Here is a 17,975-nt window from a genome sequence, read left to right as displayed (position 1 = left end):
ACTGTTATAAGAATTTACAAGCTCTTATAATTAATGGCTGACACATAGTAAACACCCAAAATGGTGGTAGTGATGGTGGTGGTGGTAGGTATGGTAGAGGTGGGGTGATATTTTCCAACAATAGCGCTAATTTGATAGCACCCCTTTGGATCATCAGAACATCCAGTGTATTTGTTAACAAACTATCATCAGGTATGATAAACATCCAAAATTTAATAATGATAATAAATCAAGAAAAATGGTTCTAAATGATCTCACAGTTGAGTTTTTTTATGTATGTAATGGCAAGAATATAGACTTAATGATACAACAGTGATTAAAATAAATCTATTTCCAAGTCTTCAGAATTGCTTGCATATTAATTAGCTCTAAAGTATGGTACCAAATTTCATCTTTTTACATTAATTATGTATATCAATACAAACTGTAAGTGAATATTGTGCATGAAGCTAGAGTTTATGTTTAATGATTTTAAATATGAGAAACAGTACTTTCAATTATTCCAGTAGCTGGTCCCCTAATATGCAGTCTGAGGTTACATTTTTGAGGATTTAAAGCAGAAGGTTTCCAATGGAGTCTTCTTTCCATTCCTCCTTCCCACCTCCCTTATTGTTATGGTGGCAAACTGCTTAATTATCCTTCCTACCCCAAGGGACTAGGCCCCAAAATGGGCTTAATCAGAATGCCTCAACACTAGAGTGTCCTCCAAATGTAAGAGCATTAGAGCAAGACACTGTGCAACTCTATGAACAAGCTCATCTGCCATCTTAAAGCAAGGATATGGCTTTGTGATGAATTGGGAGATGAGACATGAGCACAGTAGTTGGTGTGGTGTGGATAATACAATCTAGTCTTTCAATTAGATACATTTCTCCTTTATTTGGCATTTAGCATTTCTTGTCTAATTGCCTTTTGTCACCTTTAAAAATATTGCCCAATTGTCACAATATGCTATGTTATTGATTTTGTTTCATTTGACACAAAGTACTGCTTTGTATCAACTGAATGTTGGCTTCCAGCTTTTCCTTAGATCAAAAAATGAGCTATTTTTTGACTGGAGGCAAACTCCTTTCATGGTTACCTATCAACTGCCATGGAATAGCCATTCGAGCCTCTGGAAGAGTAAAAAACTATAATATAAAATACCACGTATACCACATTTATTTACAATTGATTTTCTCTTCTAAATTTGTGTGAAGAGTCTAATGTTTTGAGAATCAGATCAGCTTTAAATGAACAACAAAATCCCACTATCTTAAACGTCCTCAGAGAAAATCCTTTCATAATTTGAATCATTATCCTATAAGAATTAAATTGTGTACATCTGGATAATCATGTTCAAAGATATGCATTATGTCTTAAAAAAGCAGACTATACCTATGCAATGAAAAACAATAACAAATCTAATCACATTATTGAATTTTGCAGATGTTTAGCTTGACATTTTTGGAGCATCTGCCATTAGAGCTGGAGGCTTCCTTGTGTGAATCCTCAAGGCTCAGTTGCATTATATAACAATTAGCCTAAGTGGCTGGTAATTAGACCTATCTGTAGTTTCTAAGGGTAAAAGAAATGTCTCAGAGGTGGTCTCCAAAAGTATGAGGAAAACAAAAAGGGCTTTGCTTCTTGTTTCTAGTGCTTCTGAGGCCTGCCTGCCATAATCTCAGAAGAGACTCCAAGTTCTTCAATAGCCCGTGAAGGCTGCATGCTGAGGTTGTCTTCCTTACCTGGTTACAAAATAGAGGCTGACACTGAGCTGTGAAGCACTGGGCAACCCCATTTCTACACAGACATTTGGCACACCGGCTCAGCCGCCAGTCCTCCCCATCCTGAAACACATGGCCTTCATAGGAACAGGGTTCTGGAAGGTCAAAGAAACAAGGATTACTAGGGGGATGGCATTTGTTGATCCCAGGGCTGACTGCATGGGCGTGCAGCCAGTGCAGTTGGTCAGAAGCCCAGTGCACAGAAGGAGGTCCTGCATTTGGTGTTCAATGCTCTGCAGTCACTACCTTGAAATCTCTGAATTTGTGTTTTATAGGTGAAGTTTTGAGGCTCAGCTCATGTGTGGTCCCACCTGCTGCTGGCTTCCTGGGATGAGTTCTCAGCTACCAGCTCCTCCACTCCATCCCAATGAATGCTGTCATCCCCAACCCTCGTGGGGGCTGGTGCCAGGAGGTTGCATGCGCCCTATGCACCAAGTCACAGGGTAGAGCCTGGGGTGTCTGTGAGGGTATCCTCCCACCCTTCATTCCCAGGCCCAAAGGAGGAAAACATTAAATAGCAACTAAAAAACATGCCAAATATGACAGGTTGAGAGAAAGAGATCACAGAGGCAAACAAAAAAACAACAAAAAAGCTTTTTCTCCTCTTTCTTTTTGAACAAGAGACCCTACATTTTTGCAAATTATGTTGTTGGCCCCAGTTGATCCTCCAATCTTTCCAGGAAATATACGTCCAAAGTCTTTCTCATGGAGAGTCAATGAGAAGGCCTCTTAGGACTTAAGAAAGAATCCCACAAACTCAGACAACCTACTCCCCACACCACCCCCAACTCTGTTGTTCCAAGTATTTTCACTTGTAGGGTTGGTTTTTTAGCCCAAAATGTCTGTCAGTCCTTTTCTGGTAGGTGACATCTGAAATGCATCAGGCAAGCATTTTCCTTTCATCAATTCTTGGGCATATTTTTTCATCCCTGGAATTCTCCAGTGTAAATAAAGGATTGCTGGAAATGGAATAACTGGGGATCAGAAAGAAATGAGGTATCCTTTTAATGAGAAAAAGCAAGAATAGAGTGTACCTTCCAGTTGCTGTTAAATAAAAGTATTCTGGCTATTACATGTTGTGAGAGTGCCTAATACAGCAATGACAATAATTCCTATTTATTATACGGTATACACTACCTAGTTATAAAAATGGAAGGGGACACAGATCCACAAAGTGTAATAAAAAGAGTATGGGAACAAGCGTGGATTCTGAGGAGAGGGCCTAAAAGTCTGACTCTGGCTTGCTGAACAAAATCTGGGTGTCTTGGTTTCTAGGTGGGCATAATTTCTTCAGTGACACCTACATGGGGAGCATGTCTTTATTTCATAAATAAAGACAAATAAGTAAAGACAAATAAAAGGCATGCTTCCTGTTGTGTGTGTCTTGGAGAAAGATGTTATGTCATCTCAAAGACAAGCCAACAGAAATAGTGTTGATGATACTACACAGACAGAGAACTGAGTTATTCCTTTTTCTGTCCACTAAGGAGGCAAAAGGAACCACCTTAGCCTTATGGAATCATATCAAAGGATCTTTTCCCTATTCCCTTGCTTCTCAGGAGCTGTGAATGCAGAACTGTAAATCAGAAACTCACAGAATCTCAAATTTGGAAGGGCGCTTAAGGATTTGTTCCAATCTCACTCTCTGGGACACTGCGCCCTTCCAAGTGCAAGGTGTTGCACTTGATTCCAATACGGAATGGGGTTAGGAAATCTTTGAGCCACACTGAGCAAGAAAGAGAAGAGTTGGGGTGTCGCCATGTGTTGCGGGAAGTCAGGGACCCCAAACGGAGGGACCAGCTGGAACCAAGGCAGAAGAACACAAACTGTGAAGATTTCATGGACATTTATCACCTCTCTAATAATACTCTTACAATTTCTTATGCCTGTCTTTAATCTTTTAATCCCGTTATCTTCACAAGCTGAGAATGTATGTCACCTCAGGACAACTATTGTACAAATTGATTGTAAAACGTGTGTTTGAACAATATGAAATCAGTACACCTTGAAAAAGAACAGAATAAGCAATTTTCAGGGAATAAGGGAAGATAATCAGGGAATAAGGGAAGGTAACCATAAGGTCTGACTGCCTGTGGGGTCGGGTAGAATAGAGCCATATTTTTTCTTCTTGCAGACAGCCTATAAATGGACGTGCAAGTAAGAGAGATATCGCTGAATTATTTTCCCAGCAAGGAATACCCTGAGGAAGGAATGCATTCCTGGGGGGAGGTCTATAAACGGCCACTCTGGGAGTTCTGTCTTATGTGGTTGCGATAAGGACTGAAATACACCCTGGTCTCCTGCAGTACCCTCAGGCTTACTAGGATTGGGAAATTCCAGCCCGGTAAATTTTGGTCAGACCAGTTCTTTGCTCTCAAACCCTGTTTTCCGTTAAGATGTTTATCAAGACAATACGTGCACAGCGGGACACAGACCCTCATCAGTAATTCTAATTTTGCCTTTGCCTTGTGATCTTTATTGCCCTTTGAAGCATGTGGTCTTTGTGACCTACTCCCTGTTCGTACACCCCCTCTCCTTTTAAAATCTCTAATAAAAACTTGCTGGTTTTGTGGCTCAGAGGGCATCACGGTCCTACTGATATGTGATGTCATCCCTGGAGGCCCAGCTGTAAAATTCCTCTCTTTGTACTCTTTCTATTTCTCAGACCAGCCAACATTTAGGGAAAATAGAAAGAACCTATGTTGAAATATTGAGGGCTGGTTCCCCCGATAGCCATGTGAACCTCCCAAGCAAAGAGGGTCCCCTTCTACAAGCTCATACTCACTCCCAAGGCCCACACAAACTGGGCAGCAGCTTCCTTCAGGGATGAATGCCAGCTCCTGGTGTCCACATGACAGCGGTGGGCATGGTTGGGGGGTACATCGGACTTCCCCATGATTGCAAGAGCACACACTACATGGAGAAGAGGCCCATTCTGTCCCATGCTGTGTGTTAGGGAGACAGAAAAAAAAAAAGGTTAGTGCCAAAACACAGGCTTTCATTCAGCCAAATAGAAACAAATCTTCTCTTATCCAAATTAAGGATGGAGCTCAGGGAAAGGTGGAATAAAGCTATGAGCTTGCAAGGTTGAGAGTGGAATTTGCAAGGCTTCAAGTCAAAGGCCAGTTTAAACATGGACTTCTCCTTCTATTACCGCGAAGATTTTTTATTTACAAATTTCAGAAAATTTGTAAATACAAAATACAAAAAGAAAATAAAAATAACCTAATCTCCTACCATTTAAAACATTCTATAAAGCCCCAATTCAAATACACATATGTTTACTGTGTTCTTCATAATGACTATATCCTTTTCAGTAGCTCTCTCTGATCCTGTTTCCTTTCTTTGACTTTACTTTTTATCCTGATTAGTTCCCATATTCCACTCCCCCCTTTCTGTCTCTCTCTCTCTCTCTCTCAACTGTTCCAGTGATCTCATGGCCCTGAAGAAAGTGTGATAGCCAACAGGGAGGACAAGCAGGAAATGATGTACCCAAGCACTGAGTTGCACAGACCAAGGATTTACTTGGCCACATGCACATTCACAGATCCCAGCTCAGCCCTTCCTGCCTTGGAAACTATAGGTAAGTGACTTAATCTTTTTCACTCTCAGTTTCTTGATCTATAATAATAAAATGGTATGACAACATTCCCTTCACCAGTGGGCTCTTCTGAGGGTTAAATGAGCTAGCCTGCTAAAGAGCCACCCAGGTGTGCAGTGTACTGGTGCTCAATCCAGAGTAGAACAGTGTTACCCAGGGCTAGGGAGATGTTGGCCAAGGCTACAAACTTCCAGCTATAAGATGAACAAGTTCTGAGGATCTAAGGTACAGCATGGGGGGTGATGGATGAGTTAATTAATTTGATTGTGGTAATTATTACACAATATATATGCATATCCAACCGTGTTGTACACCTTGACTATATTTGATCTTCATTTGTCAATTAAACATCTTAAAATAGAAAGATGCTCAAACTTCTCCCATTTCTATTGCATGATTTCCTGAACTTCCTCCCTTCTTCCACACCTTGTTTTGACTGTAAGTAGCAGGAATGGACACAGATACAAAGGTCAAGTCCTCTCCCATCCATTCTTACTTCTGCTACAATTATATATAAGTTTCAAATTTAGTACAGCATAGAAATGGGCAAGTCCACAAACTGTGGGCCAATAAAAGACAGGGCAATTGACCTTTATGCTTGAAAAGGCCTACACATGAAAGCAAAGAAAGAACTTAAAAGAAAATTGATAGGATTTAATGAGTTAAAATTTTTAAATCTGCCAAAAACACATCATAAAATATATAAAATAAAATTAAAAGGCAAAGGACAAACTGATCTTAAAAATTGCAGATTATATTAATTAGAACTAAACTCTAATATATAAAAGCATTTATAAGAAGTAAGAAAAAGACATTTCAAATTTTCAAAATAGCAAAAACTTACAGAATGTTCAAATGTATTAATTGTAAAAAATACTAATTATAAAATTATAACGTTTTAAATATCTGATATGAAAAGACTTTAACATTCATGGTACCTAGACTTGGTGAAGCTACAGTGAAGGGAAAGAAATTCTCTCACACACAAAGCCTTCCCTCACGATAACACCTGGAATCACTCAACCAGGGGATGCCTCCCCAGTATAATCACACTTGAAAAGAGGATGCAGTATCTGTGGTATTTCCCCTGGGCTTATCACTAGACACAGAAGACTTAAAATTAAATTTTAATGACTAAAGATGTCACAGCTTCAATACTCAAACTCTTTAGATGCCTTGACCTACTAATTTCACTTTTTATATGTTATCTGAAGAAAATGATTAATGACACACAAAAGGCTTAAATACAAGAAATGCCATCTATTGTTCTTTATAGTGAAATTGAAAATATTTTAGTGAAAATTGGAAGCTACACAAATATCTAATAACAGGAAATCATGTTCTCCAAGAGTACACTAAGGAACTATTTACAATATAATGTTATATAAAAAGGCAAGACATAAAACACAGCATAATTCCAATTATGTTAAAACATAGATCTGTATGTATTATCTATCTCCACTGCCAACCCCTCCACCAAAACTGAAAGAACATTAACAGTGGTTTTCAGAGTATTCGGATTACTAGTGATATTTTTTCTGCTTGTATACTTTTCTCTTTTCCAAATTTTCCCCAAGAAAATATTTTTTGTCATCAGAAAGCAAATTATTGTTTAAAATATCTAATGAGTCATTTATATATCTTAAAGTCAAAATTAATGTCTTAATTTAAAGACTATAGTCTTTAAATTATATATATTTGACTACATATATTTAAAGTAAAATCTTAAAGTCTTAATTTAAAGACTATATAGAACAACTTGAAGTAAACTTCATTTTATTAAAAATTAGAAGACTGCTCTAAACATCTAGACATTTCACTTCATAAAACAAGAACTTTTGTTACTACCAAGAAACACCACTGTTGTTTCCAAAACATTGCAGTCACACTACCTTTCAGACAGAGACCAGAAAAATTAATTATAACAACAGCCTGCCAATCACCAAAGTTGTCGTTCATCTGTAAAATAAGAGGGCTATATTAGCTGATCTCTTCAGTACCCACTCTCTCTGATCATGTAAATTTATTATCTAACTCAAAAGACATAAAATTAAGCAATGGGTTCTCCCTTCCCAAAAGCCTGAGAATTGTGGGAATTAAGAAAAACATTCAGGCTGGACAACGGTGGCTCATGCTTGTAATCCCAGCACTTTGGGAGGCCAAGGCGAGTGGATCACTTGAGGTCAGGAGTTCAAGACCAGCCTGGTCAGCATGGTGAAACCCCATCTCCACTAAAAATACAAAAATTAGCTGGGTGTGGTGGCGGTTGCCAGTAGTCCCAGCTACTTGGGAGGCTGAGGCACGAGAATCACTTGAACTTGAGAGGTAGGGGTTCCAGTGAGCCAAGATCATACCACTGCAACTGGGAGACAGAGTGAGACTCCATCTCAAAAAAAAAAAAAAAAAAAAAAAGGCTCCACTGCTTGATGTCAAAGCCACAGAAGAAAGTCCAGACAGTGATCCAAAGTGTGCAGCATGATGAAAAGAATTCCCTCTCACATCTCTCCAGGAGACAAGTCACCTAAGTTTACTCCATTTTTGTGTCTTTTGACTTTGAAACAGTGACACCTCCTTCCCCAGAGTGAGTGTTCTGAGGATTGATTATGCATGCAACACACCCAGCCTAGAGATCAAGGCATCAGCACATGCATATATATATATATATATATATGCATATATATATATATCAGTAGTTCTTCATACACGTTTATGAAAGCATTATTTTTTATAAACACTGTAGTAGCAAAGAGAGCTCTGTAAAATGAAGGAATAATAGATACACAAAGCAATGCTCCCACAGGACCCGGTTTTACCTGTGCCATCTTAACCTCATTAATACTGTTTCGAAAACATGACATCTTGACACTGGGCAGAAGCAAACTCTGCAGACAACATCTTAAATATATTCTCCTGCATAGTCAACTAACAAGTTGGCTTGGCTGTTGACATAAGTCCAAAAGAAAGATAAGGTCAAAAAGCATTTGCCTGGCTTACTGACAGAACAAAAATACAATTTTTCTTCATATAATTTGTTCCTGTTATGGAGTTATAGATCCAGAATACTAAATATCTGGGAATGTTCAGTGCATATTATAATTACATCCTCTACTTTGAGGAGAACAAGGCTGAAGAACTCAATACTTATTTCTTGCCTCATACACATAAATTAGTTATCCTTTTAGCCTCACAAACAAAGTGAGCAGGCCTGTCCCTTCCTACTCCCCATTCAATCAGGCTGGGCACTAGAAGCCATTTCATTTTTCAGTAAACCTTCAAGCCCCATCTACTCAGATTTGACATTATCTGGTGCTGAGGTTAGATTAGTAAACAGGAAAAGAAAGGGGATTCATGGTCCTTTCCCCTCCCTTTCACAAAGTAATTTGTGGGGAAAGCACAGAAAAAAAAGTATTCAAACAACTCTAAAACGCATTTGAGGCTTGCCTCCCTGGCTGGTTGGCATGGCGAGGCACAAATCCAAAAGTTAATTTCAAAGTATAGCTTTGCGAAGGTCATAGATGAAATGATCCCCCAAATCCTGGCTATAATAAACCCTTGCAACACTCTCAAATAACCTGGAGTCAGCCAAAATGTTCAAGTGTTTTCCTCACTCCAGGAAAGATCTTGAGACTAGTCTTGACTTGCTGAAATGCCAGTTGTATAAGACGCTGCCACCTCTGCAAGCAAAGGAGGTCCTCCCCCAAGGCTCCGCTGTTTTATTAAGGGGTAGTCTTCTCACGCAGCCCTTAGCTCAGCCAGTCCTTCACTTTCCTTTATTTGAACCATATTCTCCGGGGACAGTATCACTTCAACTGCCTCCCCTCCTGCCACACCGAATCTATCCTAAATCCTCTTCTCAATCTGTCTTAGGGGAAAGCTTCCACTTCAGATCACCATTCCAAAGTTCTTAAAATGCCAGGCTATTTTATAGCTACTGGGAGTCTCCATTACCCGCCCTAGGGGAGGCAAGCCAGAGGCCAAAGAGAGAAGATCACTGCTATTCAGCAGGAGGGAAAAGTACCCTGGAAACTGCTCCCCAAACAAGCAAGAAAGGAAATGCTACAAGAGTCAAAAATAAACAAACAAAACTAGTGATGCAAGTGATGAGGTGAGACCCAGACCAGACCAGACAAGCATTTAACCCACTCAAGAAAATTAATGCACTAAGGAGTGTTTGGTAAGAACCTAGAGGAAGTGAAGAAAGAAAGAGAGGAAGGACAGAAAGACAAGAAACATAATTATTTTAACTTTATTAAGACTAAAATTAGAAGATTTTGTCTCGCCTTAAAAAAAATCCATCTTCTAGCTCTATTTGAAGAAGCAATCCACTAGAGATTTTTTCCCCAAAAAACTATAGTTTTGAAATTCATCCTTTTGCTCAGTTACATCAAATACCAGAAATATAACATTTTCAGAGGGAGTAAATTTTGAAAGACACATATGGAAAAGCAACACATGGGTATATTCTTACCCAGTTTAGAGCTTTCTACATGGTGTATTATTGCAGAGGGATGAACCACAAGGGAAGTGGGGAGAAGAAAGACCAGCGGGAGAACTTTCTGAACTCTCCCTGCAAAAGTGGGAGGCTAGGAGGATTTCTAACTAACCCAAGGCAGATCTGTGGTCCCAGAGCTAACCAGCCACACTGGTTAATGACCAACATGCCCTTAAGATGAGGTCATAGAGAAGTTGGAGAAAAGATTTACTAATTTTTTGAATCTTTTATTCACCTGTGTTTATTGAGCACCTACTCTGGGAAAAGTTCAGTGCTAAGTGCCAGGTAAGTGAGAGGCAGGAAAGATAATTGTAAAAATATAGAAAATATTGTCAATATTCTCAGGCATCTTAAATTAAGAAGACTGCACATGTGCACACACATGACATGAGAGAGCATATGATGTCATTAGTGTGGTCCATGCAAAGATTTACTGAATTCTGATCTCCCATGTCCCTGGTACCACCTCTTATTTGATATGTCTGGTTTTTTTTTTCCCCCAGATCCTGGACTTATTTTGGCTCCTAACAACTCCTTCACTTGAAAGATTCAGGTTGAACCATGCACTTATCATTCACCTTGAACCATGCACTTATCATAATCATTCGGAACTGGCATTATTTTCATCACCACTCTGCCCTGAGGCACTTTTCAGTTCATAGGGATTTTCTTCTGTGACATTTAAAGACAACACCACCCTACATAACACAGGCTGAATCGAGCAGCACATAGTGATACGTGGTCTGAAGACATTCTCAGTGTAGATCCTGCTTGGATGTCTTTCAGCAACACATTGTGCAGAAGTGAAAGAGTGGCTTCCTTGTGTAATTAGGAAACAGTGGCTCGAGTAAGATAATCCTGCCCCACAGGGAAATGAGCACTGTGCTTTCTGAGTTTTAGGTCCCCACACTGAATAGCAGCCTCAAGTAGATATATCAAATCCTACTAACCTATGCTCTCTCCTGAATAAAGAGACACTAACTTGGGGAAAGTTTTGTATCAGGTGGAAGATGAGGATTAAAGCAAAGTCTCTTTCCATCATATTCAACCGTACCTACTACCTCAGGTAACATTTACATATCAATGAAGATAAACTGTCTATTTTCATAATTTCTATTATAGACTTTGCAGTTGGTACTTTTTAATCATATTTAATATTTCTAAATTAATCCTGAATGATCTGAAATGAGAAAGTGTAATTTTAAGAACTTGAGAAAAGATTTCTAGTCCTGTAGTTCTCAAAAGGGGGAAGGTGAGCATTTTGCCCCCAAGGGAAATTTGGCCATGTCTGCAAAGATTTCTGGTTGACATGACTGAGGGATGCTACTAGCATCTAGTGGGAAAAGACCAGGGATGCAGCTAAATGTCCTACAATGCAAAGCACAGCTCCCACAACAAAGCTTAAAATGCCAAGGCTGCTAAGTTGAAAATTTCTACTATAGTAAAAAGAGCCCTGAATTAGGAGTCAGAAGACCAGGGTTCTAGACCAGGTTATACCATTTATTAGTAATATGACATTGGGCAAGTACCTAAGCTCTTTGCAATTAAATTTTTTCGTATTTAACATGGGAGTAATAACATCTGCTCTACTCACCAGCTCAGGATTGTTTGTAACTATCAAATTTAAAATGTATGTAGTACATAAAAGGAGGGAGGTACTTTTACTATTCAGCATCACAACTTCTTCAACATCAACATTCTCAGACACAAATTCAATCTACAAATATTTATGTAGAGCCTACAGAATGTTTTACTCTTATACAAGAAACCTAAATGCTCACAGAAAGTCAAATGGGCTTCAGATCCTCCACAATCCAGGCAAAGAAAAAAACTCTCATCAACACAAGTTTAACATTCAGCTTTTCCCTTGTCAGAGATCTGCAGACACAGAATCAACCGTGAGTCAGAAAACACTTACCTCATGGATTTTCTTTTCATGATGGCAAGATCCTGGAGTCCTCAAAACACACTCAGGACAGCATTGGTTGGCAGCTATTTGAAGCACTTCTCCCTGAGCATTTAAAAGCAGCTCAAAGTAAAACAGCAGCAGCACACACCAAGTCACAATAGTTCATCAGACCCTAAGTCATCTTACATTCACTAAATCTCATGCGTTTCTGAGGTGACAACAACAGATGGGATAAAATGAATAGACTGAAAAAAAGGTTCTGTGTCCAGATAAGCTTCGCTCAAAGATAAAATGAACCCCCTCTGTAAAAGTAATTTCCTTGAAAAAAAAACTCTACATCTTTTCACATGTGATGAACTTGAGACTTTGTTTCACTAGAAACCCTAGGAGATTTACACAAGATAAGCAGTTTTCTCCTGCTGGGAAGAGGCAGAAGACTCAGGTGGGGGATGGCCACAGAGCTGGCAGGTCTTCCAGCTGTCTGGTATCTTACACAGCCTAGTGCAGCCAGTGAAGCAGCTGAAGTTCTCATAGGTAACTTTTACCTGGGACAGGAGGTTGCAGGACAAAGTTCTGAGAGGAAGTAATATCTCTGCAGAGGTATCATATATACACACTGTGGTAAGCTGAGTAGAATTCCTAAGCTCTAGTAAAGATCTACATTGTTCCCAGAGCTTCTATAATTGCAATTGTGTTTCTTGATACTATCAAGAGAATAGGCCACCACCTGATACCCCAAGATTTACTGGGGAGGTGTCACATGTCAACCATCCAATCACCACTGTAAATAATCTGTTTATCTAAGAGTTGTTAAAAATATGGAGTGAAGAGCATTAGCTTGTCTTTGAGGCCCACGACTCTCATATTAGATCTTCCTACTCATGCTGCTCCTCTACTTAGGATTTTCTCAAGCCTAGTGATGTGGCAGAACAGGCAATTAGTGATTTTGACCAAAAATGGTAGGAGATCCTACATTAGCCAGGAAATCATGACTTATCCACAGGATAAAAGTCTACCAAGAATTCAACCAGTAGAATAAAAAGAAAAAAGTTTGTGTGTGTGTGTGTGCGTGTGTGTTAATGTTATTAATATTTATTATTTATTTTTGGTTGCTTCATTTTTAAAAAAATTGTACCTACAAGAGAATTCTAACATCATATATCTACAAGAGTGGATGGGAAATAGGACTAAGTTTTTACAACCATTAACCCACTAAACAGATAAATACATCAATAAAGTGATCATCAAATTCCTATTTTTTTGATAAAGGATAAAACTTATATGACATGGGATTTTATGAAATTATACATACTATGCAATATTAATCACTTTTCAGAAAAGTGTCCTCTGAACCCCAAGATAAAACTACACTTGTCTGATTTCCACTAAAACAATTAGAGAAACTACATTAGCCTAATTTCCACTAAGAATTTCATACAGATTGAAAATAACATGATCTAAGTGTTGATAGTCTAACATGGAAGCCGGGAGCAAGGGAGAAAGGCAGGTAGAATGGAAGACTTCAAGGAATGTTTCATGCCCCCAGATTAGTTTTCTTTGTTTTACATAAAAGCTAACTTTCAGATTTAGCCCTCAAAGCTCATTTTATAAATATAATAATATGTATGTGTGTGTGTATATATGTGTATGTGTTTGTGTGTATATATATATATATATATTTGCTAGTGGCAGTAGCGGGAGGGGAGAGGATGGTTCCCAACTTGGTCTATCTATTGAATTTCTGGTGGAACATAAAAGAGTTGAGTTAAAGGAGGAATAAAAATTTTGCATGTGGGTGCTTGAAGAATGAGAATCAAGGAGTTCCTGCCACCTAACCATGTAACCCTGAATGGCTTGGTGAGCTGTGGGCTGCATGGAACACAAAGGAGTCCTTCTCCAGGCTTTGCAGTGTTGTGGTTTAGAAAGTGGTTGCAGGGGCAAAAAACATCAGTGAAGATCGCTGGGGGCAAGATTACTTGCTTAGGACCTAGGAGAACCACCAACAATAATGATAATTTGATCATTATAGCTAACACTTATTGAGTGCTTACAATAGTGGGGTACTCCTCCACACATTTATATGCATATGTACATATATGCATACTACATATATGCATACATATAGATATATACATATATATATATAGAGAGAGTTAATTTTCACAACAACTTTATTAAGTAAATGTCATTATTATCTGCATTGAGGTTTGCAGCCAAAACCTTACCACGTAATGCCGTGCTCCTTTGAATGGCATTGTCTTTTGTGCAGACATATTCTCCAGAAATCCTTAGACAGGATAGCTTCTGACAGAACTGGGTTAACTATTCAAGGTTCTAAATACCTTTGTGTTCTTTCTCTCAATCTTTTTCTGTCTGTCTGTCTTTCTGTCCCTATCCAGCTAGCTATTCTATATGAATATAAGATACGGATATAGAATCCACGACCTGTGATTATAGAATGGATAAATGACAGATGATAAAATATGTCTTTCAGCATTGCCATTGACACTAGGTTATTTCTAGTCAATCCATAGCCAAAACAAATTGCTTCAAAAAGGTAAAAAATGATAAAAAGAAAAACAAGTTATTAACAGTAACAAGCCAAGCATGGTGGCTCACACCTATAATCCCAGCACTTTGGGAGGCTGAGGTGGTTGGATCACTTGAGGTCAGGAGTTAGAGACCAGCCTGGCCATCATGGTGAAACCCCGTCTCTCCTAAAAAATACAAAATTAGCTGGATGTGGTGGCACATGCCTGTAATCCCAGCTACTTGGGAGGCTGAGGCAGGAGAATCACTTGAACCCGAGAGGCAGAGGTTACAGTGAGCAGAGATCACACCACTGCACTCCAGCCTGGACAGCAGAGTGAAACTCTGTCTAAAATAAAATAATAATTTAATTTAGGAACAGTGGTGATTCATGAACTTGTGCCACATACTAATGTAAGGGTACCACAGCAGGTCTGAATAACAGCAACACATGCTGTTGAAAGCCCAGAGGAAAACTTAAAAGCAACATGGTAGAGTAAAAATCACACTGGGACATGAGCCAAGGCCCAAGGTTCTTGACATGACCATACCACCTCCTAGCTCTGGATAAGTGACTAAACCACTAAAAATCAGTTTCTTTATTTACAGACTGAGGAAGTCTGACTAAGTGATTTCTAAAGATCCCTTCTAGTTCTTCCATTCTATGATCCTATTTCATTACTTGAAATAAAGAGCCCAAAAGCTCTGTGGAATATTTACATGATCTTAGAGTTGAAAAAGTTTCTTATGGTTGGATCATCTGGTACAAGCCTCTCATTTTACAGATAAGGAACCTCCTTCCTTAGAGTTCATGCTCTCTGATTCCTATGTTGCCTTCATCCACAAATTTGCTGATCACTCTCTCACTTTCACTCAGTAAAGACTTGACACCTGGATCTCTGTTTTTTTTTCTACCTGTGTCTAGATCATTCTAGACAACTTCAATGCCCATTAAAATGATATTCTATCTTTGTACACTCTCAACCACCTCAGTTCAAGCGATTTTCATCTCTATTTCACACAGTTATAGCCAACCTTAAAATCTGTCCACACTCCAATGAACCTGGGCCTCCTGGTTTTTAGCACCCTCTCACCCTTATTTCCTCCAGGGAGATCCTTGAGCACTTCTTTACCTTCCAGTCTTTCAACCCCCAGCTGGCCTCCCATTCTCCTATTCATGTTATCCTCAATGTCCAGCAACCACTCCTAATTCACTTACTCAGTCTCTCCTCCCCTCTAACTCCCATCTCTTCAATTTCTCTCTCTAGTCTGGGCTATTACCATTTCCCTCCTAAGGTGATTATATGTCTTTCATGGTAATATCAAAAACTAAAAAGTAAAACAAAACAAAACCCTCTCCTTTCCCTTATGAGATCATTACAAAAATGTTGACTAGGTGCCTTCTGTGTGCTGCGTACTATGCTGTTTGACGGGCTGCAATAGTGAAGATGGCAAGATTCCTGCTCTCAAGGAGCTAAGAGTCTGGAGGAAGAAGCAGATAAGTAAACAGGCATTGCAGTCTAGTCAAGGGGTATGAATAGGGCAAGCACAAAGTGCCGTGGAAGCACACCGAAGGGCTTGATGGTTGGGGATGGGAGATTCAGAGAAACCTCTCAGATGTAATGTTGCCTACCTAAGGCCCCACTTCTCTCCTTCCACCCCTCAGTCAAGCTCCTGAAAGGATGGCCTTTATTCAGCCTTCCTTTCCCCACTTTCCATTCACTCCTTATGCCTCTGCAATACAGTCTCCGCTCCCCCCACTCCATTGAGATCAACCTCAGCGTGGCCACCGGTGGCCTACATGCTGCCAGATCTGAAGGGCCATATTAAGTTCTCCTCCCACTTACTCCTTTAACTGTGCTCAACACGGTTAATACAAACTTTCTGGGCATCTTCTACTCTCCTTGGTGACTATAATATTACTCTCTTCTTTGACCATTTCTTTCCTTTCACCCCTCTGACCATGGCTTCTCAATCTTCTTAAGCACTTTCTCTTATGCTCACCTCCCCTTAAATGACTGTGCTCCCCAAATTCCATCCTTCATCTTGTACCCTTTTCTCACACAATCTCTTTGGATGAGTTCTTTAATTCTACATGTTTGCAATACGATCTATGTGCTGATGACAGCTACATTATATCTCCAGCCCCATCGTCTCCTCTGAGCCTTAGACTTACATATCCAGCTACCATTCTGACATATCCACCTGGGTCTTTCCCAGACATTTCAAACCAATTTGTCCCAAACTGAAATTGCCATTTTTCCCAGATGGGCTGTTTTTCTTAATCCTCCTGTATTCTCAATATCAGCTGGTGACTCAGCTAACCAACTAGTCATTAAGCCATAAATATGGCAGTCGTTTCTCCTTTTCCTTTCTGTCACCCTCCTACCTTCAGCCAGTTCTGCTGATTTATCCCCTAAATACTTGTCACACCTGCCCTTATCTCTTGATCCCTACACTATCAGTGCTCCAGTTGTGCAACTCATCCTCTCTGGGTGATTCTCTCAGCCTCTGAACTGATCTCCTCATTTCTAATATTATGCATTATCTTTGAAAAACCAGAGATACTTTTTTTCTAAAAAAGCCAGACATTCCACCCTTACACCTAAAACCTTTGTTAGTATTCCATAACCTTAAAAATAAAATTCCAAACTCCATACTACAGCATACAAGGCTCTGCATAACCTCAAACTTACCAACTTTCTAGCCTCATCTCTCATTAATTCATTCATTCAGTCAGTAAAAAAAAAAATTATTGAGTGCCTACCATGTGTCAGGTGTTACTGTAGATGCTGTGGATATACAGAGAATAAAAGAGACAGTAAACGAAAAATACCATTAAAATAGATAGTAGTTAGTATCAAAAAGAAAAATAAAGTCTGGAAGAGGAATACAAAATGTGTGGTAGGGGGCAGAGATTTGCAATTTTACACAGAATGGCATCCAGGCAAGACTTGAAGTAAAAGATCAAGTAATATATGTATACATATATGTATATAAACACACATCTCTCTCATATATATATGCATACCAGGCACACTTCTGCCATAGAGCCTTTGCACTTTGCTGTTCCCTCTGAAATTGTTCTCTCAGATATATACATATATATTCAGGGAACAGCAAGGAGGCTTGGTGTCTGAAGCAGTGAGCAAGGGAGAAAACAGTAGAATATTAATTAGAGGGGTATAGTAGTACCTTAAAGGACATTGGGAAATGTTACTTTGAGTAAGAAGAGAAGCCACTGGAAGCCATTGGAGGGGTTTAAGGAGAGAAGCAACATGATCTGAGTTCAATTATATTAGGATCACTGTGGCTACTATATCAAAATTACAGTGAAAAAGGCAAGTATAGAAACAGCAAAACCAGTTAAGAGGCTATTGTGAGAATACAGACAAAAGGATGATAATAATGGAACCAGACTGACAGCAAAGAAGTCACATTTGGAATTTACTGTTTCATGAAGGAAGAGCTGGGAGGGGGTTGTTAATGTACTAGATATGGGATGTGGGAGAAAGTGGGGAGTCAAAAGTGATGTTAAGTTTTTGGGCCAAAGCAACTGGGAGAATGGGGTTGCCATTTACCAAGATGAGAAAAATTAGGAGAGCAAATTAGGAAGAGATGAAATCACAAGTTTGATATATAACAAAGATGGGAGACTTTTTCTGTGAAGGGCCAGAT

At 39.3% G+C, this 17,975-nt stretch overlaps 1 protein-coding gene across 2 annotated transcripts in view; it reads right to left on the bottom strand.

Annotated features, from left to right (window-relative positions):
* Positions 1 to 17,975, bottom strand: part of FRAS1 (Fraser extracellular matrix complex subunit 1) — a 486,947-nt gene that overhangs the window by 287,167 nt on the left and 181,805 nt on the right. For both annotated transcript variants that reach the window (NM_025074.7, NM_001166133.2), the window contains exons 4-6: positions 11,778 to 11,870; positions 4,552 to 4,711; positions 1,728 to 1,861 (exon numbers count right to left, since the gene is read on the bottom strand). In NM_025074.7, coding sequence (NP_079350.5) covers positions 1,728 to 1,861; positions 4,552 to 4,711; positions 11,778 to 11,870 — 387 coding nt within the window. The remainder of the gene's footprint in view (positions 1 to 1,727; positions 1,862 to 4,551; positions 4,712 to 11,777; positions 11,871 to 17,975) is intronic.

This window comes from Homo sapiens, chromosome 4, assembly GCF_000001405.40.
Source record: "Homo sapiens chromosome 4, GRCh38.p14 Primary Assembly".
In the NCBI taxonomy this organism is placed as follows: Eukaryota; Metazoa; Chordata; class Mammalia; order Primates; family Hominidae; genus Homo; species Homo sapiens.
This window is presented reverse-complemented; position numbering and strand designations above follow the sequence as displayed.